The sequence below is a fragment of the Homo sapiens genome, chromosome 19 (assembly GCF_000001405.40).
Source record: "Homo sapiens chromosome 19, GRCh38.p14 Primary Assembly".
In the NCBI taxonomy this organism is placed as follows: Eukaryota; Metazoa; Chordata; class Mammalia; order Primates; family Hominidae; genus Homo; species Homo sapiens.
The window spans coordinates 19,593,519-19,619,580 of record NC_000019.10 but is presented as its reverse complement, the minus strand read 5'-3'; the positions used below and the strand labels follow the sequence as shown (position 1 = coordinate 19,619,580).

The window sequence follows — 26,062 nt, the reverse complement described above, 5'->3', positions numbered from 1 at the left end:
GACTAGAAACAAAGATGTGAGGATTCGCTCTGATTTGGGGTACACTGCAGGGGAGTCTCTCAGTAAACATCCTTCCTTCATTCGGTAACCACGTGGTAGCATTTTCTATGCCCAGAACTGTAATCTGCGAAGATGAATAAACAAGCGAGGTCACTCTTCAGCTGGACCTTGAAAGGTGACTGGAATTGATTTCTGCAGTGGAGAAAAGCGCTGCGTTCTGACCTCCTCGTTGCCATCAACCACGCACGCCTGCGCCCCGCCTTAGCCAGGTGAACGGGGCGTGGAAAGCTCTAGAGGAAGAGCCAGGGGCCCCAGTGGCCCACCTGATGGGGCTGAGGATGCAGGGAGCATTAGGGGGACTGAGCAGGGGTCTGGGGCTTGGGGCTTCTGGAAATGAATGGGGGCTGTCGATCAAGCTATAAGAGGTGTGGGGTTCTGAGGAGGAGGGGGTGGCTTGGAGGAAGAGTTGGGGTGCTCTGGGGAGTGAGGGTCTCTGAGGACCGAGGGCTTTGAGGAGAAGGGGGCCCTGAGGAGGAGCAGGAACTCTGAGGAGATGCGAGTGGGGCTGAAGGAGGCGTGCACCGCGCGAGATGTGAGGGATGGGGGCCTCTGGCTGGAGCGGAGCCAGCGCTGCCCTCTCTCAAGGGGAAGGAGGGCGCTTATGAGAAGTGCCGTTGCCTCGGCAACCCCAAACCCAGTCCAAGCCCGGAGAGGGGGAAGTTCGGGGCGAGTCCCGGGGGCGGTGCGTGGCGCCGGTTGGCTGACGGAGATGAAGGGGCGTGTCTGTAGGCGGTGCAATACACGGGTTGGCTGGCGATAGCGGCGGTGGGCGTGGCTTAGGCGCGAGCGAGAGCGGGCGCGGCGCTCAGGCAGCGGCGGTTGGCTGCGGCGCCAGTGGTAGTGCTCCAGGCTCGACGGCACCCTCACAGCGCCCGCCCGGCCCTGCCGCTCATGGCCGCCCCGCCGCGCCCCGCGCCATCGCCCCCCGCCCCGCGGCGCCTCGACACGAGCGACGTCCTGCAGCAGATCATGGCCATCACCGACCAGAGCCTGGACGAGGCACAGGCCAGGTGCTGCCCGCGGGCTCGGCAGGGGCCACGCAGGGTCGTGGCAGTGAGGTTGGCGGGCTGAGGGGACGGGGCGTGGAGGCCAGACTGACGAGGGGCGCTTGAGGAGGGCTGGAGGGGGGTCCCGAGGACGAAGGGATGTATGGGGTTCAAACGGAACGGGCTGGATAGGCCTTATGGGGCCGAGCAGTGGCGTGAAGGATTTTCAGCAGCTCATCTTGGGGCGAGAAGGTTGGGTTTAGGGGTTTAGGGAGTAGGGCTGAGAAATGGGCACGTACGGGACTTTTGACGAGTGAATGACTAAATGGGTACGTTAATGGGACTCCTGCGGCTGGAAGTTTTTTTGTTGTTGTTTGACACGGTCTTGCTCTGTCGCCCAGGCTGGAGTGCAGTGGCGTGATCATGGCTCACTGCAGCATCCACCTCCCCGGCTCAGTTGATTCTCCTGCCTCAGCCTCCCGAGTAGCTGGGACCACAGGCGCACGTGCAACCACGCCCGGCTGATTTTTTTGTATATTTTGTAGAGACAGGGGTCTCGCTATAGTTGCTTAAACTCCTGGGTTCAAGCACTCATTCCGTCTCGGCCTCCCTAAGTGCTGGGATTACAGGCGCGAGCCACCGAGCCCGGCCTGTGGGTGGGAAGTTTCCAGGGCAGATGATGGAGAGTGAGTGGCTGGGAATGGGACTCAGGAATGTCTGCAGGAGACTGAAGAACTGAACTGGGGTAACTTGGTGTGGGAACCATCGAGAACTTTTGGGAAAAGGGTTAGTAGAGGAGTGGGTGGAGATGGAAGACCTATTTTCTTTTTAATGAATTCAGCAAATTTTTATTGAATCCTTACAATAACTGGATAGGGAACCGGGTGCTGACATAGTCCCTGCTCTCGAGTACATGATTTAGGGGAGGGAATGTAAATAGCAAAAAATAAGGACTGGGTGGAGTGGCTCACATCTCTAATCACAGCACTTTAGGAGGCTGAGGCAGGAGGATTGCTTGAGCTCAGGAGTTCGAGACCAACCTGGACAATGTAGTAAGACCTCGTCTCTACTAAAAATAAAATTAAAAAATTAGTTAGGTGTGATGATGCAAGCCTGTAGTCCCAGCTACTTAGGAGGCTGAGGCTGCAGTGAGCCGAATCAAGCCATTGCACTCCAGCCTGGGTGACAGAGCTAGACCCTGTCTCAAACAAAAGCAAAAAAGTATAAGCCAGGCATGGTAGCATGGGTAGGTAATCCCAGCTGCCTCCCAGTGGGAGGATCACTTGAGTCCAGCAGTTTGAGACCAGCCTGGGCAACATAGTGAGACCATCCTGTACCAATCTGAGAAAAGAAAAAAATAAAATAAATGGCAATAAAAGCTGTAGGGATAGGGGTTGCATGCTATAGGAAGCCAGGTGGAGAAGAACATCTTTGGAGAGGACAGCACCTTCAGAGGCCCTGAGGTGGGAAAGAGGATGTAAAAAGCGGAGTCTGGCTGGGAAGAGAAAGTTCCTAGCCAGGGAGGGAAAGAGTTGAGTTTAAAGGAAGGCTGGGGCCAGGTGCGGTGGCTCACGCCTGTAATCCCAGCACTTTGGGAGGCCAAGGCAGGTGAATCACGAGGTCAGGAGTTCAATACCAGCCTGGCCAACATGGTGAAACCCAGTCTCTACCAAAAATACAAAAATTAGCTGGGTGTAGTGGTGCACACCTATAATCCCAACTACTTGGGAGGCTGAGGCAGGAGAATCACTGGAACCTGGGAGGCGGAGGCTGCAGTGAGCCGAGATCACACCACTGCACTCCAGCCTGGGCGACAGAGCGAGATTCCGTCTGAACAAAAAATAATAATAATAATAAAGGGAGACTGGAACCCAATTACATGGGGCCTACGAATCTCAGTAAAGAGTTTTGTTTGTTCAGCCAGGCACAGTGGCTGACACCTGTAATCCCTGCACTTTGGGAGGCCAAGGTGGGCAGATCACCTGAGGTCAAGAGTTCGAGACCAGCCTGGCCAACATGGCAAAACCCCATCTCTACTAAAAATACGAAAATTAGCTGGGCGTGGTGGTGCATGTCTATGGTCCCAGCTACTTGGGAGGCTGAGGCAGGAGAAACACTTGAATCCAGGAGGTGCCTGGGTTCAAGCGCCACTGCATTCCAACCTGGGCGACAGAGTGAGACTCTGTCTCCATAAAAAAATAGTTTTGTTTTTGTCATCTGGATAACAATCAATAGGGAGTTCGGACTATTTATTCCAGTTGCAATGGGGAAAAATAAAGGAGTTTTTAGACCTCCCATCCCGTTTACCTCCACTCACCACTTGTCAGCCAGCCAGGATCCGTAGAATCTGCTTCACAAGGCAGCCCACTGTGTCTGGGTCCTGCAGTGATTATTACAGAAAAGGAAAGGAAAGGACTGAAGTCCTTTTGGAGGATGAGGCCTTGTTGAATGGGGACTGTTGTAAGGTGAGGGACGGTCTCTGGGTATGGGACTAGGGTCTGGTGGTGTGGACTGTGTACCCACTAGAGCCCTGTAGTGGGGAGGGGTTACAAAGCCAGGTAAACAGCAGTCCTAGGAAGGAAGAGGCAGATAAAAAGGTGGATAATGCATGCATTTGTTCTTCAATGAATTGTGTGTGTGTGTGTGTGACGGACTCTCACTCTGTTGCCCAGGCTGGAGTGCAGTGGCGCTATCTCGGCTCACTGCAACCTCTGCCTCCCGGGTTCAAGCGATTCTCCTGCCTCAGCTTCCTGAGTAGCCGGGACTACAGGCATACGCCCCATGCGTGGCTAGTTTTGTATTTTTAGTAGAGATGGGGTTTCACCGTGTTGGCCAGGCTGGTCACAAATTCCTGACCTTAGGTGATCTGCCTACCTCAGCCTCCCAAAGTGCTGGGATTACAGGCGTGAACTACTGTGCCTGGCCTGTTCTTCAATGAATTTTTAACAAATTTGGCCGATATTTATCGGACCTTTACAATATCTGGGTACTGAACTGGGTTCTGGCATAGCTCTCAAGTTCTTCCTGCTCTCAAGTTCATGGTTTGGGGAGAGAAAGTAAATTTGTTCTTCAAACTTTCTTTCCTTTGCTTCTCAGGGAATGTTGACACTTTTTGTAGTTTCAGATGCTCTGTTTGAGAAATTAGAGTCCTTGTCACCATACAACTATTTCTTTGGCTTTTTTTTTTTTATATAAGGCCGCGCTCTGTCACCCAGGCTAGAGTGCAGTAGTGTCATCATGACTCACTGCAGCCTCAACCTTCTGGGCCCAAGCAATCTTCACACCTCAGCTTCTTGAGTAGCTAGGACCACAGGCCTGTGCCACCACGCCTGGCTAATCTTTCTTTTTTTTTTTTTTTTTTTTTTTTTTGGAGACAGGGTCTCACTCTGTCACCCAGACTGGAGTGCAGTGGTGCAGTCTCAGCTCACTGCAACCTCTGCCTCCCAGGCTCAAGCAATTCTCCTGCCTCAGCCTCCTGAGTAGCTGGGATTACAGGCGTGTGCCACTACCGCCTGGCTAATTTTTTTTTGTATTTTTAGTAGAGACAGGGTTTCACCGTATTGGCTAGGCTGGTGTTGAACTCCTGACCTCAAATGATCCACCCACCTCGGCCTCCCAAAGTGCTGGGATTACAGCCCTGAGCCACCACACCTGGACTAATCTTTCTATTTTTTTAGGTCTCCCTATGTTGGCCAGGCTGGTCTCAAACTCCTGAGTTAAGAAATCCTCCCGCCTCAGCCTTCCAAAGGTCGAGGATTTCAAACATGAGCCACTGAGCCTGGCTCCTCCAACTGTTTTCATTGTGGTTTTTTGTTTGTTTGTTTGTTTTTGTTTGTTTGTTTGGCTGTTTTTTGGTTTGGTTTGGGTTTTTTTGAGACGGAGTCTCATACTCTGTTGTCCAGGCTGGAGTGCAGTGGCGCGATCAGGCTGGAGTGCAGTGGCGCGATCTCGGCTAGTGAGCAACCTCCGCCTCCCGGGTTCAAGTGATTCTCCCATCTCAGTTTCCCAAGTAGCTGGGATTACAGGTGTGCACCACCACACCTGGCTAGTTTTTTGTATTTTTAATAGAGATGGGGTTTCACCATGTTGGCCAGGCTGGTCTCAAACTCCCGACCTCAGATGATCTACCCGCCTTGGCCTCTCAAAGTGTTGGGATTACAGGCGTGAGCCACTGCGCCGGGCCATGTTTGTTTGTTTGTTTTTGAGACAGGGTCTTATTCTGTCACCCAGGCTGGAGTGCTGTGGTATGATCTCAACTCACTACAACCTCTGCTTCCCAGGTTCAAGTGATTCTCCAGCCTCAGTCTCCCAAGTAGCTGGGACTACAGCCTCAAACCACCAATGAATGGCTGGCTAATTTTTGTATTTTTTGTGGAGATGGGGTTTCACCATGTTGTCCAGGCTGGTCTTGAACTCCTGAGCTCAAGTGATTCACCCATCTTGGCCTCCCAGAGTGCTGGGATGACAGACGTGAACCAGTGTTTTTATTCTTTTTGGAGCATTGTACCAGGTGCTAGAGAAACCAAGATGGCTAAGATGTTCTCTGCCTTCTTGGAGCCCACTGAGAAGTAGGGTGTGTGGGAGACCAACTTGTAAATAATTGTTATAACAGGAATGTGCTGTGTAGAGGTAATTCCTAGCACAGAAGAGCTGTGCCAGGAGAGGGTGCCTTCCGTGATGTCTGTTAGGCTAGTCGGAGAGCAGTGGCTTTATTATACTTTGTGTTCCCAGAGCCAGGATCAATGCCTAGCACCTTGCATTCAGTAGTTTCATGACACTGAGGAGATTCTAGAGGGATTAGTAGGAGTTGGGAAAGGGGGAAGATGGTTTTGACACACCCAGGAATGTCACCGCAGAGGCAGAGCTTTGGGTGTGTCCTGGAAGCTACTTTTGTACTTTCCAGACCGGGATATTGCTGCTTAAGGGGTGAGCTCTGCTCAGATGTGGCCTTCCTCAGGCCCAGCACAGCCCCAGGGCTGCTGCATTTTCCTTGCAGCAATCTCCTGAGATTCTAGTTTCCCTAGACAGGCTTTAGATTTAGAATGGAATGCAGCCAGTTACTTTTTTTTTTTTTTTTTTTTTTTTTTTTGAGACAGAGTCTCGCTCTGGCGTGTTCTTGGCTCACTGCAACTTCTGCCTCCTGGGTTCAAGAGATTCTCCTGCCTCAGCCTCCCGAGTAGCTAAGATTACAGGCGCCTGCCACCACGCCCGGCTAATTTTGGTATTTTTTTAGTAGAGACGGGGTTTTGCCATGTTGGCCAGGCTGCTCTCAAACTCCTGACCTCAGGTGATCCTCCCACCTCGGCCTCCCAAAGTGCTGGGATTACAGGCATAAACCACCACGCCCTGCCAGCCAGTTACTTCTTTACCATTTTCAAAGATAGCTCTTTTTGTTTTAAGGCTAAGAAATTAGGCTGGGTGCAGTGGCTCACGCCTGTAATCCCAGCACTTTGGGAGGCCGAGGCAGGAGGATCACCTGAGCTCAGGACTTCGAGACCAGCCTGTGCAACGTGGAGAAACCCCACCTCTACTAAAAATACAAAAATTAGCTGGGCATGATGATGCCCACCTGTAGTATGTGTCAGCTACTGAGGAGGCTGAGGCAGGAGAACCGATTGAACCCTGGAGACGGAGGTTGCAGTGAGCCGAGATCGTGCCACTGCACTCCAGCCTGGATGACAGAGAAAAAAAAAAAAGAAATTAAATGGTGTGGTGGGGGGCGTTATTCATGCTTGATAACACAGGTGTTAGGTAGCTGGTTCCTGGTTTCTGGCCTCTTTCTGAATTGGGATGACCCCCGGGGCTTTTATTTCGAGACTTTGAAGCTTCAAATCTCCCTCATTTCTTTGGACCTAGCCTTTAGATGAACTCAAAGCCCTAAAGTTCACTCAAGTCCAGACAAAAATCATCCATCCTCAAATGGGCTATTTCCACCCCTCTGGAGGAAATACAGCTCCTCACAGTAAACCCTGCAGCCTGGTAGATTACCAACCTGGGCTGGGAAGCAGATTGTCTCTTCTGATCAACTGATCCTGTGAGGCTTTTGAAAATCTTTCTGATCCTGCCCACTCTCAATGTGCCAGTCACCCCTTTTATCACCCCAGCAGTCAGTTGAACTCAACTGTTTAGCAAGAAGGAATTTTTCATCTCAGTCGTGAGGCCCTCTGAACATGTTTTGTTGCCGTAAGTTTGTTTTCAGAAGGAAAATATAGCTCTCTCTTCAAACCTGGGTTTTTTGTTTTGTTTTGTTTTTTTCTTGAGACAGAGTCTCACTCTGTTGCCCTCGCTGGGATACAGTGGTGCGATCTCAGTTCACTGCAACCCTCGTCTCATGGGTTCAAGCAATTCTGCCTCAGCCTCCCGAGTAGTTGGGATTACAGGTGTGTACAGGTATGCACCACCATGCCCGGCTTAATTTTTGTATTTTTAGTAGAGACACAGTTTCACCATGTTGGCCAAGCTGGTCTAGAACTCCTGGCTTCAGGTGATCTGCCTGCCTCAGCCTCCCAAAGTGCAGGGATTACAGGCATGAGCCACTGTGCCTGGCCTTAACATTTTTTTGTAGATACAGAGTCTCACTATGTTGCCCAGGCTGGTTTTGAACTCCTGGGCTCAAGCTGTCCTCCTGCCTCAGCCTCCCAAAATGCTGGGACTACAGTCATGAGCCATCCCACCCATTCTAAATGCTCACTGTTATAATGTTTTAGGAGCAAGCAGTGTGGTGTGTGAGATGGCATACCTAAAACCAAAAATGTATTTGGAAGTTGGTTTTAGGCAACCCAGCAATGCCTGCATAGGTTTTCTTAGGAAGAAAACATATCTCTGAACTTTTCTTTCTTTTTTTTTTTTTTTTTTTGAGACAGAATCTCACCCTGTCACCCAGGCTGGAATGCAGTGGCATGATCTCGGCTCACTGCAACCTCTGCCCCCTGGGTTCAAGTGATTCTCCTGCCTCAGCCTCCCAAGTAGCTGGGATTACAGGCACCTGCCATTGCACCAGGCTATTTTTTGTATTTTTAGTAGAGACGGGGTTTCACCATCTTGGCCAGGCTGGTCTTGAACTCCTGACCTCATGATCTGCCCGCCTCGGCCTCCCAAAGTGCTGGGATTACAGGTGTGAGCCACCATGCCCGGCCTTCTCTTTTTAATTTGATTTTTACTATTATGACCTCAACTAGTAGAGATTTGCATAACTTTCTTAGTCCCTCCAATATTTCTGCAGATTGACTTTGCCTAGATATGGATTAAATTCCTATTATGAAGGGGAGATAATGAAGTGATTTTGACTATCCTTTAAACTTACTGAAGAGGCAAGGTGTGAACTGATACCTGAAATGTGTTCCCCTAGGCTTGGTACTTTTGCAATAGTGAATATAAGGTCAGAACACATATACTTATAAAGTATGTATACTTATGTATGTTCTGACCTTATATTCATACATAGTTATAAAGCATGTCAGTGAGCATTCAGCCTTCCGCACACCCATTCAAAGAATGCAAGGGTTCTAGGGGGAATTTATGATGTGGAATTTCCCAGAGCCAGATAGCATTAGCATGAGAGGATCTATCAGTCCAAACCTGGGAAGTAGGATTTCATATTTAAAATTTTCTTTTTCAGTATCCCTAAAGAGATTAATTAGATGCCAGTTGACTTCGTGCCTTGTAGTCTTTCTTCTTAGCTTGCTTGCAGGCTTAGCTTGACTTGGTCTAGTGCCAGAGGAGTCTTGCTGTCTTTGGTGTACTTTTCCTAAGAGTTGAATTGTGTTGGTTTTTGTTGTTTGACACAGAGTCTTGCTCTATCACCCAGGCTGGAGTGCAGTGGCGTAATCTCGGCTCACTGCAACCTCCACCTCCCAAGTTCAAGTGATTCTCATGCCTCAGCCTCCTGATTAGCTAGGATTACATGCATGCGCCAGCCACCACACCCGGCTAATTTTCATATTTTTAGTTGAAACGAGGTTTCACCATGTTGGGCAGGCTGGTCTTGAACTCCTGACCTCAAATGATTATCCCGCCTCGGATTCCCCAAAGTGCTGAGATTACAGGTGTGAGCCACTTTGCCCAGCTTGAATTGTGTTGTTTTTATTTTTTTGTAAGTTTTTTAAATTTTTTATTGTTTTCGAGATGGAGTTTCACTCTTGTTACCCAGGCTGGAGTGCAATGGCACAATCTCTGCTCACCGCAACCTCCACCTCCCGGGTTCAAACAATTCTCCTGCCTCAGCCTTCCGAGTAGCTGGGATTCCAGGCACGTGCCACCACACCCAGCTAATTTTGTATTTTCAGTAGAGACGAGGTTTCTCCATGTTGTTCAGGCTGGTCTCGAACTCCCAACCTCAGGTGATCCGCCCGTCTCAGCCTCCCAAAGTGGTGGGATTACAGACGTGAGCCACCGTGCCTGGCAAATTGTGTTAGTTTTAAAACAATTCCCTGAAGCTATCTAAAAGTCTTTTGGCAAAATCCCCTTTGAAATAGCTTTATTAATGAAAAGTAAAGCCATGTGTAGAATTTCACAAAGGAGCAAGTACCACTCACTCATTTAAATGACAGCTACCGAGTGCCTCTATCAGAACACAGTGGTTGATGATGATGACAATAAGGATTTCCCTCATTTACCCCTCCCCAGAACCCTAGGAAGTGGGTGGTTTTTCACTGTTTGTTTTTCTTTCTTTCTTTAGTTTTTTTGAGACGGAGTCTCGCTGTGTCGCCCAGGCTGGAGTGTGGTGGCGCAATCTCGGCTCACTGCAAGCTCCGCCCCCCGGGTTCACGCCATTCTCCTGCCTCAGCCTCCCGAGTAGCTGGGAATACAGGCACCCGCCACCACGCCCGGCTAATTTTTTTGTATTTTTAGTAGAGACCGGGTTTCACCGTGTGAGCCAGGATGGTCTCGATCTCCTGAGCTCGTGATCTGCCCTCCTCGGCCTGCCAAAGTGCTGGGATTACAGGCGTGAATCACTGCGCCTGGCTCTTTTTTTTTTTTTTTTTTCATATGGATTTTTGCTCTTGTTGCCCAGGCTGGAGTGCAATGGCGCGATTTCGGCTCACCACAACTTCCGCCTCCCGGGTTCAAGCGATTCTCCTGCCTCAGCCTCCCAAGTAGCTGGGATTACAGGCATGCACCACCACGCCTGGCTAATTTTGTATTTTTAGTAGAGACGGGGTTTCTCCATGTTGGTCAGGCTGGTCTCCAACTCCTGACCTCAGGTGATCCACCCGCCTCAGCCTCCCAAAGTGCTGGGATTACAGGTGTGAGCTACTGCGCCTGGCTCTTCACTGTGTTTCTAGATAAGGAATCAAGTGGCCAGATAACTGGAGGGTAGTTGGATGGAGATTTGGGCATGCTCTATTGAACTCTGAGGCTGTACTGCCTGCCACCTGTCTCTGCTTTTCCCAGGGATCCTACAAAACTCACTTAAATCTGACATCGCTTCCTGCTCAGAGGAGCCCAGCTGATTGGGTGCCGTGGGAGATCAGACAGTCAGGCTCGGGCTTTACAGGACACTTTTAAAAGTACATTCTCGCAAATTAAATGTCATCTACTCAATAAACATGTATTTTGTGCCAGGTCTGGTGCTGGGCTTGGGAATGCAGCAGTGAGTTCTGAAAGGAGATTCATTATTTGGAGAGGCAGACATTGGAGAGTGCGGTGACACGGGGACCAGAGAGGGCAATGAGGAGTTAGCCCTTCAGCAAGACTAGAGCTTGTAGAGCATGGGCAATCAGAGTGCATGACTCTGGAGTCTAGGTGAAGTCAGGCGGGGGACAAGGAGCCTTGAGGAGATGGCCAAGATCTGGACTTGAGGCTTTGCCTAGGCAAAGAAAGTGGATGCGGCATTGTAGGCTTGGTGCAAGCATGCATGCAAGGCAGGCGTGGAGCATGAAGGCATGCATTGTGGTCCCATCGGGCATGAGTGGTGGGCGTGACCTTGGAAGGGAGACTCGGGGGTGACTGCCTGCCTCAGCTGCTGTCCGACCAAGCATGGCCTTGAACTCCTTGCCAGGTAAGGAGTGAGCACGCGGTTTGTTCCAGACTTGTACAGTGTAAGTACTTTGCAAAGTATTCTGACCTTTCTAAGGTATTTGTCCTGGTTTGTTTTGTTCTGTTTTGTTTTGTTTTGTTTTTGAGACGGAGTCTCACTCTGTTGCCCAGGTGGGAGTTCAGTTTTCTTTCCTTTTTTTTTTTTTTGAGACAGGGTCTCACTTGCCTAGACTGGAGTGCAGTGGCACGATCTTGGCTCACCACAACCTCCGCCTCCCAGGCTCAAGCGATTCTCCTGTCATAGCCTCCTGAGTAGCTGGGATTACAGGCGCTGGTCACCACAGCCTGGCTCATTTTTGCATTTTTGGTAGAGACGAGGTTTCACCATATTGGTCAGGCTGGCCTCAATCTCCTGACCTCAAGTGATCTGCCCGCCTCGGCTTCCCAAAGTGCTGGGATTACAGGCGTGAGCCACCGCGCCCGGCCTGCAGTTTTACTTCTTAAGAGCAGGGAACATAAGTTCTAAATTTTTGTTTGTACCTAGGTTTGTCTCCAGGAGATGTATAATATTGCTGACTGCTTTTGTCAGCTAAAATAATCCTTCTAGAACTGAGAATAATCAAGGATAATCGATCTATCCTTGGTTAAGGTGTTAGAATCATTGTTGCTTTCAGGAAGACTTTTTCAAGTAGTATTCTATTCCATAGGGACTGAAATCTCTGAATATATCTTTAAATGAAATTCCCAAGTAATTTAAAATGATACCTTGATGAGGAAAACAGATTGTTCTATAATTTGGGAAAGTAAATTATAGCTAAAATTATCAGCTAAAACATACTGTTGGTAGATACCAGAATGTGGATTATGTTTTTATTCATTTTCATGTTCCTTAGCCCTTATACAAGGACCAGCATATGGTACTTCCACAATAAATGTTTGTCCCATAAATATTGAATAAATGAGGTTGAAGGGGGATAAAGCTCTATGCTTTCACTTTCTGGCATTTTCTATATGACTCTCAATTGTTTTGCTATAGATTTTGAATATTGGTTTAAAAATGATATTCAGAATTTTGGTTTTGGGCTTTTTTTGTTTTTGTTTAGGTTAGAAGACTCCTTGGAAGTCAATTTAAAAGATTTACTGTTCTTCCTTTTTTTCGAATTTTTCTCATAAACATTAGCATTTTAAAAAACTCAGATATGTGGCCAGGCGCAGTGGCTGACGCCTATAATCCCAGCACTTTGGGAGGCCGAGGTGGGTGGATCACTTGAAGTCAGGAGTTCTAGACCAGTCTGGCCAACGTGATGAAACCCCGCCTTTACTAAAAATATAAAAATTAGCCAGGAGTGGTGGCGTATACCTGTAATCCCAGCTACTTGGGAGGCTGAGGCACAAGAATCGCTTGAACCTAGGAGACAGAGGTTGCAGTGAGCTGAGATCATGCCACTGCATTCCAGCCTGGGCAACAGAGCAAGACTCTGTCTCAAAAACAAACAAAAAAATTCAGATATGTGGATTTGGTAGAATATGTCATATACTTGTGTTTTTTGTTTGTTTGTTTGTTTTGAGACAGAGTCTTGCTGTGTCACCCAGCCTGGAGTTCAGTGGCGCGATCTTGGCTCACTGCAACCTTCACCTCCTGGTTTCAAGTGATTGTCATGCCTCAGCCTCCCAGGTAGCTGGAATTACAAGCATGTGCCACCATGCCTGGCTAATTTTTGTATTTTTAGTACAGACGGGGTTTCACCATGATGGCCAGGCTGGTGGCCAGGCTGGTTTTGAACTCCTGACCTCAGGTGATCCGCCCGCTTCAGCCTCCCAAAGTGCTGGGATTACGGGCATGAGCCACGGCACCCAGCCATAACGTGTCATATACTTGTTAGACATACCAGCACCAACCCCATTTTTCTCCCAACGGTCCCCATTCTCTGGCTTCCAGTCTATCTCATTATCAACTCTCTATTGCTTTATAAGAAATCACCGCAAGCCTAGCAGCTTAAAACAGCAGATATTTATTATCTCACAGTTTCCTTGGGTCAGGATTCTGGGCACAGCTTAGCTAGGTCCTCTGCTTAGGGTCTCACAGGGCTGCAGTCAAGGTGTTGGCTGGGCTATGTTCCTATCCAGAGCATGGGGTTCTCTCCCAGTGTCGCATGGTTGATGGAAGAATTCACTTCCTGCAGTTGAAGCACAAAGGTCCCTGCTTTCTTCCTGGCTGTCAGTTGAGGCTGCTCTCAGCTTTAGAGGCTGCCTGCAGTTCCTGCCACCAGCTGTCATGACATGGCAGCTGGTGCCAGTGGGTGACTCTCTAGTCATCTAAGGTGGAGTCTTAGATAACAACATAACCATGGCAGAGATGATACCATCACCTTTGGCACATTGCAAGTCACAGGTACTTCCTGAACTCAAGGAAAAAGGATTATATAAGGACATGACTCACTGGGGGTTACCTTAGGGTGTGTCTGCCAAGTAAGTGATTTCATCCCCTTGGGGAAGGTCTCACTAGTCAGTCCCCTTTTCCTCACTGATTTGCAGCAGCTGCTTGATCACTGCTAGCTCAAAGACATGCTCAAAGCTTGGGAACTTGTTTTCTTTTCATAGTAAGCCACAGAAACTATGAAATTACTTTGTATGCATTAAAAAGTGCTTTCTACTGTATCTAAAGTAAAATATTTTATAAGGAGAAAACTGGTAAAAAAAAAAAAAAAAAAAAAAATCCTAGAGCCTTTACAGAAGCAGAAGAGCCAACTTCATTTTCTTTCCTCTTATTGTTAAAATTAAGTTTCCAGGCCAGAAACAAGGCTCACGCCTGTAATCCTAACACTTTGTGAGGCCAAAGTGGGAGGATTACTTGAGCCCAAGAGTTTGAGACCAGTCTGGACAACATAGGGAGAACCCGTCTCTGTTTTATTTATTTATTTATTTATTTATGAGACAGGGTCTCACTCTGTCGCCCAGGCTGGAGTACAGTGGTGTGATCACAGCTCACTGCAGCCTTGATCTCCTGAGTTCAAGCGATCCTCCCACCTCAGCCTCCCTAGTAGCTGGGACTACAGGCATGTGCCACCAAACCCAGATAATTTACTTTTTGTATTATTATTATTATTGTTATTATTATTATTATTATTATTATTATTATTTTGAGACAGAGTCTTGTTCTGTCACCAGGCTGGAGTGCTGTGGCGCAATCTCAGCTCACTGTAGCCTCCACCTCCCAGGCTCAAGTGATTCTCCTGCCTCAGCCTCCTGAGTAGCTGGGACTACAGGTGCGCGCCACCATGCCCAGCTGAATTTTGTATTTTTAGTAGAGACGGGGTTTCACCACGTTGGCCAGGATGGTCTCTATCTTTTGGCCTCGTGATCCACCTGCCTTGGCTTCTCAAAGTGCTGGGATTCCAGGCGTGAGCCACTGTGTCTGACAGTTTTTTGTATTTCTTATAGAGCTGGGGTTTCACCATGTTCCCCAGGTTTCTTCTATTTTTATATTAAAATATATTTTTTTTAAAGAGAAAAAGTTAAATTTCCAGAAGATGAGCTATAATCAGAGTCCATTTAAATTAATGTTAATACCACTTCTATGGAAAGAAAATGTTTAATATTTTAAGCTGAATATCTCGTGTGATCAATGACTGTATACCTTATAAGAAAGACTAACATGGCCGGGCATGGTGGCTCACACCTGTGATCCCAGCACTTTGGGAGGCCGAGGCAAGTGGATCATGAGGTCAGGAGATCGAGACCATCCTGGCTAATACCATGAAACCCTGTCTATACTAAAAACATAAAAAATTAGCTGAGTGTGGTGGCACGCGCCTATAGTTCCAGCTACTCAGGAGGCTGAGGCAGGAGAATCACTTGAACCTGGGAGGTGGAGGTTGCAGTAAGCCAAGATCGCGCTACTGCACTCCAGCCTGGGTGACAGAGCGAGACTCCATCTCAAAAATAAAAATTAAAAATAAAGAAAGACTAATGTTCAGGTTAGATTTTGGGAAGTTCATATGTCATCTCATCCCCCACAAACATTTTATATTTGAAGTTCAGAGACAAAGATCTTAGTTCTGCACCCCAGTTGTATTCCTTTTTTTTTTTTGAGATGGAATCTCGCTCTGTTGCCCAGACGGGAGTGCAGTGATGTGATCTTGTCTCGCTGCAACCTCCACCTCCTGAATTTATGTAATTCTTGTGCCTCAGCAAGTAGTTGGGATTACAGGTGTACACCACCATGCCCATCAAATTTTTGGCATTTTTAGGAGAGACAGGATTTTGCCATGTTGGCCAGGCTGGTCTCAAACTCCTGACCTCAAGTGATCCCCCCATCTCAGCCTCCCAAAGTGCTGGGATTACAGGCATGAGCCACCATGCCCAACCTCTCATGGTGTTAATCAAATCTGATTTCTGTTGTGAAGTTATTGATTTTCAGATACATTATTCAGCTGTGGCTTTTAATAATGGATCTTTTAATAATGGACGCTTGGATGACAGAGTTATAGGATTTAAAATCATCATAATAGTAAATGTTAATAGCATAGTACTCATCAAAGTTGTTCACAGAAGTTCTGCTACATGCACATACCAGCTACCCTATTCTTTTTTTTTTTTTTTTTTGAGATGGAGTCTCGCTCGCTGGGATGCAGTGGCGTGTTCTCGGCTCACTGCAACCTCCACCCCCTGGGTTCAAGCAATTAAATTATCCTGCCTCATCCTCCTGAGTAGCTGGGATTACAGGCACATGCCATCATGCCCGGCTAATTTTTGTATTTTTAGCAGAGACATTGTCTCACTATGTTGGCCAGGCTGGTCTCGAACTCCTGACTTCAAGTGATCTGCCCACATCAGTCTCCCAAAGTACTGGGATTACAGGCGTGAGCCACTGCGCCTGGCCATTTACTCTATCCTTGCATCATCAAATTCTCTCTCTAGACTGGCTTTTTGGCATATAAACATGTGCTAGTACCTCCTATCTTTAAGAACAGTCAAAGACAACAGGCTGGGCACCGTGGCTCATGCCTATAAGCCTGGCACTTTGGGAGGCTGAGGCTGACCAACATGCCAAAACCCCATCTCTACTAAAAATACAAAAATTAGCTGTGTGTAGTGGTGGGCACCTGTAATGCCAGCTACTCTGGAGGCCGCAGGAGAATCACCTGAACCCATGAGGTGGAGGTTGCAGTGAGCCATGATTGCACCACTGCACTCCAGCCTGAGCAATAGAGTAAGACTCTGTCTCAAAAAGAAAAAAAAGAAAAAAAGAAAAAAAACCCCTTTGACTTACCCTTTGGCCTTGCTTTGTACCCGGGATTTGTTTTAATCAGGTATGGTAAGATGACACACATGGAGACAACTGCCCTGTTGAAAGGGAAGTTTATTACTTACAGCTCCAGAGGAGGGGGCACACCATGCCAGGCAGGGCCACATGGGGAAGCACCTGGGTCAGTGGGCGACAGTGGAGAGAGGGAAAGCACGGCCCAGAACTTTTATAGTGATTTCCTCAGGAAGGAATGGGCATGGCATGGCATGGCAGGCAAGTTTGAGCAAGCTTAGGTTAGATAGTTTAAATAATTTTGGCAGGCTCTGTGCTAGAGGAGTGGTCTCTAGTTGGTCAGTACCTGGCCCTGGGGTGATTTAGGGCTGGGAAATTATTGGCTTTGTGTGTGAGCATTAAATGAAGAAGATGATTGGGAATGTGGGCTTTTGATTGGTTGATTTGCATATGAATGGCATGTTCTTTGGCAAGTTGTTTGCTGTCTGTAGTAATAAGCTAGCCCTGGGAAGGGCAGTCACTCCAAGCCCCACAATGTCAAAGCAAGATAAAAAAAAAACATAATTAATAGTCCAGGCTCATGCCTATAATCCCAATACTTTGAGGGGCCAAGGCGGGGGGATCTCTTGAGTCTAGGAGTTCAAGAACAGCCTGGGCAATATAGTGAGACTTAAGCTCTGCAAAAACATTTTTTAAAAATTAGCCAGGCATGGTAGCACCACCCGTAGTCCCAGCTACTCAGGAGCTGAGGCGGGAGGATTGCTTGAGTTCGGGCACAGCATGGCCACTGCAGTCCAGCCTGGGCAACAGAGTAAGACCCTGTCTCAAAAAGAAAAAGAAAAAAAACATGATTAACACACACCCTGTCTTTTAGCACCTGTTATGTTTGTTTGATCTCCCTTATGATAAACATCAAAGACTTTGTGATTGCTGCTTCCGCTTCCTCCTCACCTCCACATTCTCTCCCAACCTTGTTCCCTCTCCGCTGAGTCACCTATGACCTTCATGTTGCTAAATCCGAATTCTCTTTATTCATTTATTTATTTATTTATTAGAGACAGGTTCTTGCTATGTTGCCTAGACTGGTCCTCCCACCTCAGCCTCCCATAGTGCTGAGATTACAGGCGTGAGCTACCGTGCCCAGCCTCAGATTCTCTTCTGGGTTCTTATTCTGCTTGATCTCTCAGCAGCATTTCTCACAGATTACTCTTCTCTCCATGAAATTCTTCTCTTGGCTGAGCGCAGCCTGGGCAACATAACGAGACCCTGTCTCTACAACAAATACAGAATTTAGCCAGGTGTGTTGGTGCGTGCCTCTTGTCCCAGCTCATTGTCTCGCCATGTTGCCCAGGCTGGTCTCAAACTCCTGAGCTCCAGCGATCTGCCTGCCTCGGCCTCCCAAAATGCTAGAATTACAGGCATGAGCCACCGATTTTACATTTCGGTAGGTCAGAAAGCCCACATGGGCACAGTGGGCTAAAATCAAGGTGTTGCCCAGTGAGCCCATGGGCTGGTTCCTTGCCTTTTCCAGCCTGTTGAGGCCACCTGCATTCCTTGCTCATGGTCCCTTCCTCCATGATCAAGGCCAGCAACATAGTATCTCTCCAACCCTTACATCATCATGACTTTCTCTGCCCACATCTGGGAAAGGTTCTCTACCTTTAAGGGTCATGTGATGACAGTAGGCCCCCCCAGATAATCCGGGTTAATCTCTCCATCTCAAGGTCCTTAAACTTAATTACATTGGCAGAATTATTTTTCCCATTTTTTGTAAAGTACCATATTTAGGGTTCTGAGGATAAGCATGTGGACCCTTTTGGGAGCCATTATCCTGCCAACCATAGTTCCCAACCCAAGCAAGCAAAAGCCAGAGTTGTCCCCATGACTTTCAAGGCCCTTAGAGTCAATCTCCACTTGCCAGTCTAACTTCTCGTAGCTCTCTCCCTCACCCCTAACACTCAGCAGCCTGGTCTCAAACAGCCAGTACTGAACCCAGTGTGTTCTCACAGGGCCTTTGTGCTTGGCTGTTTCTTCTGCCTAAACCATACCTCTCTCCAGTCCTTTTCTTGGTTGATTTCTCCTTCTCATTCTGATCTCAGCTTTGATGTCACCTCAGAGACATGGAAATTCCAAAAAGCCTTCTAACCATCACTGTCATGTGACCCCAGTTGCCCCAGAGCAACTGCCACGGCTGATGGGTTTCTTGTTGGTGTGTATTTTTGGTGTCTCACTCCCTCCCTCTTAACTGCCACATGTGTAAAAACCTTACCTGTCTGTGTCTCTGATGCCAGAATGGTGTGTGGCACATAGTAGGTACTCAGTAAACACCTGCCAAGTGACACTGGAAGAGGATGATTGGTGCTTCTGCTTAGGCACCAGGATACACCACTGCAGGACCATAGTGTGAACACAGATTTCAAGTTGTTGGACCTTGATATTTCATAGTTCTTTTTTTTTCTTTCTTTTTTTTTTTTTTTTTTGAGATGGAGTCTCTCTCTGTTGCCCAGGCTGGAGTTCACTGGTGCGATCTCAGCTCACTGCAACCTCTGCCTCCCTGGTTCAAGCAATTCTCCTGTGTCAGCCTCCCGAGTAGCTGGGATTACAGGTGTGCACCACCACGCCCAGCTTTTTTGTACTTTTAGTAGAGACGGGGTTTCACCATGTTGGCCAGGCTGGTCTCAAATTCCTGACCTCAGGCGATCCATCCGCCTCGGCCGCCCAAAGTGCTGGGATTACAGGCATGAGCCACTGCCTCTGGCCTTTTTTTTTTTTTCTTAATGACAAGGCCTCTGTTATGCTGGCTGGAGTACAGTGGCATGTTCATAGCTCACTACAGCCTCTAACTCATGGTCTCAAGCCATCCTCCTGTCTCAGCCTCCTGAGGGATTGGGACTACAGGCATACCACCATGCCCAGCTAATTTTTAAATTTTTGAAGAGAATGGGTCTCACCATGTTGCCCAGGCCGATCTTAAATTTCTGGGCTCAAGTGGTCCTCCTGCCTTGGCCTCCCAAAGCGTTGAGATTACAGACATGAGCCACTAATGCCTTACCATAGTTTTTGATGAGTTATTTGCATTGTTTAAACTTTTGCATATAGTGGGAAATGTTTTGAATATTTGTATATTGCTTTACATTATTATTATTATTATTATTGAGACAGAGTCTCACTCTATTGCCTGGGCTGGAGTACAGTGGCACAATCTTGGCTCACTGCAACCTCTGCCTCCAAGGTTTAAGCATTTCTCCTGCCTCACCCACCTGAGTAGCTGGGATTACAGGTGCATGACACTGTTCCTGGCGAATTTTTTTTTTTTTTTTTTTTGAGATGGAGTCTCACTCTGTCACTTAGGCTGGAGTGCAGTGGCCTGATCTCGGCTCACTGCAACCTCTGCCTCCCGGGTCTAAGCAATTCTCCTGCCTCAGCCTCCTGAGTAACTGGGATTACAGGTGGGCACCACCATGCCCAACTAATTTTTGTATTTTTAGTAGAGACAGGGTTTCACCATGCTGGCCAGGCTGGTCTCGAACTCCTGACCTCAGGCAATCCGCCTGCCTTGGCCTCCCAAAGTTCTGGGATTATAGGCATGAGCCACTGTGCCTGGCCAAGTTTTGTATTTTTAATAGAGATAGGGTTTCACCATGCTGGCCAGGCTGGTCTCAAACTCCTGACCTCAAGTGATCCACCTGCCTCGACCTCCCAAAGTGCTGGGATTACAGGCGTGAGCCACCACGGCTGGCCTTTATATTGATTTTGTGCAAATCAAATTCACATGAAATATGATTGTACTGCATTTTCATAAGGCGACTTATCTACAGTCAGAGTGGCAGATCTCGTTTGGTTTGATTTCTCAGTATGGAAGATCTTTACTCTTGGGGACAAGATGATGACTATTCTTTTCTCACACCCTCCTCTGTCACCTCCCTTTCAGAAAGCATGCTCTGAATTGCCATCGGATGAAGCCTGCTCTGTTCAGCGTGCTCTGTGAGATCAAGGAAAAGACAGGTAGGCTGTTTAGAAGACACTTTCTGGCCGAGCGTGGTGGCTCATGCCTGTAATCCCAGCACATTGGGAGGCGGAGGCGGGCAGATCACCTGAGGCTGGATTCCAGACCAGCCTGACCAACATGGAGAAACCCTGTCTCTATTAAAAATACAAAAATTAGCCAGGCGTGGTGACGCATGCCGGTAATCCCAGCTACTCGGGGGGCTAAGGTAGGAGAATCGCTTGAACCTGGGAGGTGGAGGTTGCGGTGAGCCAAGATCGCGCCATTGCACTCCAGCCTGGGCAACAAGAGTGTGCGGTGAGCCAAGATCACGCCATTGCACTCCAGCCTGGGCAACAAGAGTGAAATTCTGTCTCAAAAAAAAAAAAAAAAAAAAAGGCACTTCCTGTGTGTGACTAGAGCTGCGGCAGCACACCTCTGATCTTGTCTCAGCCCTTATGTGCATGGTGGGCCGTTTTGCTCATCCCTTCTGTCTCGCAGAAGACGGCTAGGATGTTTTCTTTCTGCCTTATCATTGCCCTGGTTTCCAGTATGCACACTGATTTATTTTGTAGTTTATAACTGAGAAATACTGTTGCAAATCAGTAACAAGCAGCTGCATTCTAGGTCGAAGACCTAAGAGGTGCTTAGCATTCAGTCATATAGAAAAAGGAAAAATGACAGACTTAGGGAAATTGAATAAGAACAGTTTTGTCGGCTGGGCACAGTGGCTCATACCTGTAGTCCCAGTACTTTGGGAGGCCGAGGCAGGTGGATCACGAGGTCAGGTGTTCAAGACCAGCCTGGCCAAGATGGTGAAACCCCCATCTCTACTAAAAATACAAAATTAGCCAGGCATGGTGGCACATGCCTGTAATCCCAGCTACTTGGGAGGCTGAGGCAGGAGAATCACTTGAACCCAGGAGGTGGAGGTTGCAGTGAGCCGAGATCGCGCCATTGCACTCCAGCCTGGGCAAGAAGAGTAAGACTCCGTCTCAAAAAAAAAAAAAAAAAGGAAAGAAAAGAAAAAGAAAAGTTGAAAAAATAGTACAGAGAGTTCTCGTATCTCCTTCTCCGGGCTTCCTGTCTCGTCAACACCTTCAGAGCCATAGTACAAATATGGAAACCAGGAAATTACGCTGAGTACAATGATCTTTAACTGAACTACAGACCTCATTTGGAGTTCCCCAGTTTTTGCCCTAATGCCCTTTTCTGCCCTGAATCCCACGTTGTATTTAGTCATCATGTCTCTTTGGTCTCCTGTGATCTGTGACCTTGTCATCCATGAATGACGCTGACCATTTTAAGAAGCGCTCAGTCATTTTGTAGAACATCCCTCAGTGCGGTTTGTCTGATGTTTCCTCTAGATTGGACTGAAGTTGTGCATCTGTGGCCAGAGTCCCACAGAGGCAATGTGTGTGTCCTCAGCACATTGTGTCAGGGAAAACATGCTGTCAATATGTCCTGTCACTGCTACCATTGACCTTGATCACTTGGTCAAGGTTAATAACAATTTGAAAGTAGCTTATAAGTGGGGCCACCAAATAAGATGAAGATATTTAAACCAAGGGTCATCTGCACAACGTGTCACTTGATTTCTTAGAGTGAGTTGGTCTCTTGAGGTCAATTATTTGAATTTTGTGTGTCACTTTGGAGCATAGCACTTCATATTTGCTGAGGCTTGTGGAAAGTGTGTGTATATGTTGTACAAAAGTGTGCTTCTTTCTGAACACTGTTTTGGTGCAAGATTGATGTGTACTTGACATATATAGTAGTTGAGAACAGCAAGAGGGTCTGAATTCTGCCTCCACCTCTGGCTGCATGACCCTGGTCCTTGGCTGAACCTTTCTCTGTTCCTGGTCCTCCTCTGATTTGTGGGGCAATAATAATACTTAGCTCATGGTTACTGAGGACTGTTGAGGGCTGTGTGAATTCATATATGTAAGGCTGTGGGCATGGTGCCCAGCCTTCAGAAGAGATCTGGTGACTAAAGGAGAAATTCAAGTTTAAATCTACATTTAAGTTTCGCCTAAATGCTATGAGGACATGATGTCCCTAACCCTCCCCAGTGTAAATTTATTTTTATTTTTATTTTTTGGAGATGGAGTTTCACTCTTATTGCCCAGGCTGGAGTGCAATGGCACGATCTTGGCTCACTGCAATCTCCGCCTTCCAGGTTCAAGCAATTCTCCTGCCTCAGCCTCTGAGTAGCCGGGATTACAGGCGCCTGCCACCACACCCAGCTAATTTTTTGTATTTTTTATTAAAGATGGGGTTTCACCATGTTGGCCAGGCTGGTCTTGAACTCCTGACCTCAGGTGATCCGCCTGCCTGTCTGCCTCCCAAAGTGCTGGGATTACAGGCGTGAGCCATCACACCTGGCCTTTTTTTTTTTTTTTTGGAGACAGGGTCTCACTCTGTCACCCAGGCTGGAGGGCAGTGACATAATCTTGGCTCACTTCAGCCTCCTGGGTGGGTGATCCTCACACCCCATCCTCCCAAGTAGCTGGGACTACAGGCACGAGCCACGTTGCCCAGCTAATTTTTGTATTTTTTGTAGAGAGAGGGTTTTGTCATGTTGCCCAGGCTGGTCTCAAACTCCTGGCCTCCCAAAATGCTGGGATTATGTGTGTGAGCCACTGTGCCCAACCAGGCTCATATTCTGTTCTGCCTCTGCCTGCTTCACCCAATTCTCTAAGGAGCCCTGATTCCTTTCAGAGTAAATCTTGGCCTTTGATGTGCTCATTGCTGTTGGGGTGTTGCTGCTCTTGGACACTCTTAGGACACAGAGCTAAGGAATATTTGTGGGTTATTACAGATGCGTGTGTACACACACACACGTGCGCACACATTCACATCTGTTTTCCTATGTTTTTATATATTAAAAACCATGAGTTCATTATGATATCTTTATTTTTGTTTGTTTATTTATTTATTTATTTATTTATTCTCACTCTGTTGCCCAGCCTGGAGTGCAGTGGTGCAATCTCAGCCTCCCAGGTTCAAGCATTTCTCCTGCCTCAGCCTCTGAGTAGCTGGGATTATGGTGTGCACCACCACGCCTGGCTAATTTTGTATTTTTAGTAGAGACAGGGTTTCATCATGTTGGCCAGACTCGTCTCAAACTCCTGACCTCAAGTGACCTGCCCGCCTCAGCCTCCCAAAGTGCTGGGATTAGAGATGTGATCCACCGCACCCAGCTTATTTTTATTTTTGAGACAGGGTCTCACTCTGTCACCAGGCTGGAATGCAGTGGTGAAGTCACAGCTCATTGCAGCCTCAACCTCCTGGGCTCAAGCAATACTCCCACCTTGGCCTCCCAAAGTGCTGGGATTACATGCATGAGCCACTGTACCTGGCCCACTCCAATATCTTTAATTCTAGTTCACCACAGGGTTCCCACTATTTTTCTCTCTTCCCAGGTTTGTGACTCCTTCCTCCAACAGTGAGAGCCTGCTCCTGTTGTCCTCAGTACTTTTGCTTGTGTAATCAATCTCCCACCTCCTTCACCCCCAAGTATACTTAATCCCCCAGCCAAGCAGACCCCTCCTTGTCCCCACCCCCCAGCAGACTGCTGCTGCTGACAGCCCCCACATGATATGCCCCCTGTTGGTCTCCAACACCCAGTGCCAGGTCATCCTCCCGACGGGGCCAGATGCTGGGCTGTGATGCCCCTGGCTTCCTGCCCACCTCATATGCCTCTCATGGGTATGTAAATATCTGATGACCTGTCTTATCTGTTCCTTATTTAAATTGTGGGGAGCAGATGCCATGGAAATGGAAACACAAAGGTTAGGCTTTCCTGGGGAACCAGACACACAAGTTTCTTGTTAGCGGTGAACTGGTTTTAAGCAAATTTGCCCTCAACTCCCTGGCAGCACTCCCTGATGGTGCTTCAGCATTCGTGTGGTAAGCTGGACAAGCGGGGGCCCTGTACCCGAATGAGCCCCAAGTACTGCAGGCTGAGGGAAGCCGCTCAGAAGGACACAGCCAATGTGTATCCACCCCCTGGAGACACTGGCTGTGGTCACGTGTTTCTTAGTATTGTGGAATTGTGTAATGTTGGTCCCTTTCACTTTTCACCTAATAAAAATAAGCCAGTGTCAGGACCACTTGCTGAGGCATGTGTACCAATAGGCACAGGCAGCCCAAGTTGTCCCTTGCTCACCCCTGACCCTGACCCCAGGAAGCAGCCTTTGGGGGCTCCCCACTGCCCACAGCGGATGTTTAGCAATGCAACATCTGGAATTTAGTAATAATAAAAAACTATTTTAAAAAGTACTTTTTAAAGGCTGGGTGCGGTGGCTCACGCCTGTAATCCCAGCACTTTGGGAGGCCGAGGCAGTTGGACCACCTGAGATCAGGAGTTCGAGACCAGCCTGACCAACATGATGAAACCCCGTCTCTACTAAAAATACAAAAATTAGCTGGGCGTGGTGGCATGCGCCTGTAATCCCAGTTACTCAGGAGGCTGAGGCAGGAGTATCACTTGAACCCAGGAGGCAGAGGTTGCAGTGAGATGACATTGCGCCACTGCACTCCAGCCTGGGTGACAGAGTGAGACCCTGTCTAAAAAAAAAAAGTACTTTAATCAACTGTAGTCTCAGGAAGCTGTCATTCTTGACCTTCCTACCAGTGAGCTGCTGGGGCTGAACGAGAAACCAATTTTTGAGAGTGTGGGTGTTCAGCCTGGGCACGCCTCTTCATAATTCCATCTGCCCCTGTGTGGATGTTACTGCATGAGTCTGTTAGTCTCAAATTCAGCAGTTTCAGGAGGGAAAACAAGAGTTGATACCAACTGTTGCCAGTGCAGCTGAGATGTCTGTCCATTTCAACCGCTGGTGTCGCCCCACCTCCCTACCCCCATCTGCCTAGGCTTTGAGGGCCATGCTCAGGACTCTTTTTTTTTTTTTTTTAGACAGAGTTTCACTCTTGTTGCCTAGGCTGGAGTGCAATGGCGCAATCTCGGCTCACTGCCTCCCAGGTTCAAGCAATTTTCCTGCCTCAGCCTCCCGAGTAGTTGGGATTACAGGCATCTGCCACCACACCCGGCTAATTTTTTGTATTTAGTAGAGACAGGGTTTCACCCTGTTGGTCAGGCTGGTCTTGAACTCTTGACCTCAGGTGATCCGCCCGCCTCGGCCTCCCAAAGTGCTGGGATTACAGCCATGTGCCACCATGCCCGGCGACATTTTTAATTTTTTATTTTTTATTTTTTTTTTTTTTTAATTAAGACACAGAGTCTCACTGTGTTGCCCAGATTGGCTTCAAACTCCTGGGCTCAAGTGATCCTCACACCTCAGCTTCCGCACACACCACCATGTCTAGGGGTCGCTGAGGACTATTTTTGGGGGGATGAGGTCTTAGTATGTTGCCCAGGTTGGCCTTGAACTCCTGAGCTCAAGTGATCCTCCTGCCTCAGCCTCCCAAGGTGTGGGGTTACAGGCAGGCGCCACTGTGCCTGGCCACTCAGGACTTTTGATTCCTCCAAGCTGAGTCCCAAGGCCGCTGCAGGGCTCAGAGCACCGGCCACCTGGGCATTTCCTTGGAAGCTAATGCTTTCTTCCCACTGACTGGCTCAAACATCTGGGTACAGGGTATGTTTTGGGGTACAGTAGGACAGGGATGAGACAGCAACTGCTCCTCCCTGAAATGCACAAGCCTGGAGCTGAGGGATGCCTGTTCCTGAGTGTCACCTGGAGTGTCCAGGTATCTTTTTATATCAGGAAGTGCAGTCAGTGAGTGCTGTGGGTCCCACCTGTGGGCCACCTGCCTTGATGTCAGGAACACCTC

The 26,062-nt window shown here is 48.1% G+C and overlaps 1 protein-coding gene across 7 annotated transcripts in view, besides 6 other annotated features; it reads left to right on the top strand.

Annotated features, from left to right (window-relative positions):
* PBX4 (PBX homeobox 4) overlaps window positions 894-26,062 on the top strand; it is a 56,975-nt gene continuing 31,806 nt past the window's right edge. For 4 of the 7 annotated variants that reach the window (NR_038198.2, NM_025245.3, XM_011528320.4 and 1 more), the window contains exons 1-2: window positions 894-1,070; window positions 20,216-20,289. Coding sequence is in view for 3 of the 7 variants with exons in the window: in NM_025245.3 (NP_079521.1) it covers window positions 952-1,070; window positions 20,216-20,289 (193 nt within the window). In the remaining 4 variants the exon portion in view is untranslated. Of the gene's footprint in view, window positions 1,071-20,212; window positions 20,290-26,062 lie in introns of those variants that run through there. The other 3 variants (XM_047439471.1, XM_006722911.4, XM_011528322.2) reach the window with 2 other exon arrangements.
* Window positions 903-1,112: a silencer, noted in NCBI's record as "silent region_10450". NCBI's record gives its function as "represses an Ori minimal core promoter by ATAC-STARR-seq in GM12878 lymphoblastoid cells {active_cell/tissue: GM12878}" and the evidence as "EXISTENCE:reporter gene assay evidence [ECO:0000049][PMID:35858748]".
* Window positions 7,178-7,742: an enhancer, noted in NCBI's record as "H3K27ac hESC enhancer chr19:19722648-19723212 (GRCh37/hg19 assembly coordinates)". NCBI's record gives its function as "activates a minimal SCP1, AML or CMV promoter by ChIP-STARR-seq in primed H9 embryonic stem cells {active_cell/tissue: H9 hESC(primed)}" and the evidence as "EXISTENCE:reporter gene assay evidence [ECO:0000049][PMID:30033119]".
* Window positions 18,524-18,573: a silencer, noted in NCBI's record as "silent region_10449". NCBI's record gives its function as "represses an Ori minimal core promoter by ATAC-STARR-seq in GM12878 lymphoblastoid cells {active_cell/tissue: GM12878}" and the evidence as "EXISTENCE:reporter gene assay evidence [ECO:0000049][PMID:35858748]".
* Window positions 20,274-20,403: an enhancer, noted in NCBI's record as "active region_14365". NCBI's record gives its function as "activates an Ori minimal core promoter by ATAC-STARR-seq in GM12878 lymphoblastoid cells {active_cell/tissue: GM12878}" and the evidence as "EXISTENCE:reporter gene assay evidence [ECO:0000049][PMID:35858748]".
* Window positions 20,704-20,813: an enhancer, noted in NCBI's record as "active region_14364". NCBI's record gives its function as "activates an Ori minimal core promoter by ATAC-STARR-seq in GM12878 lymphoblastoid cells {active_cell/tissue: GM12878}" and the evidence as "EXISTENCE:reporter gene assay evidence [ECO:0000049][PMID:35858748]".
* Window positions 21,444-21,653: an enhancer, noted in NCBI's record as "active region_14363". NCBI's record gives its function as "activates an Ori minimal core promoter by ATAC-STARR-seq in GM12878 lymphoblastoid cells {active_cell/tissue: GM12878}" and the evidence as "EXISTENCE:reporter gene assay evidence [ECO:0000049][PMID:35858748]".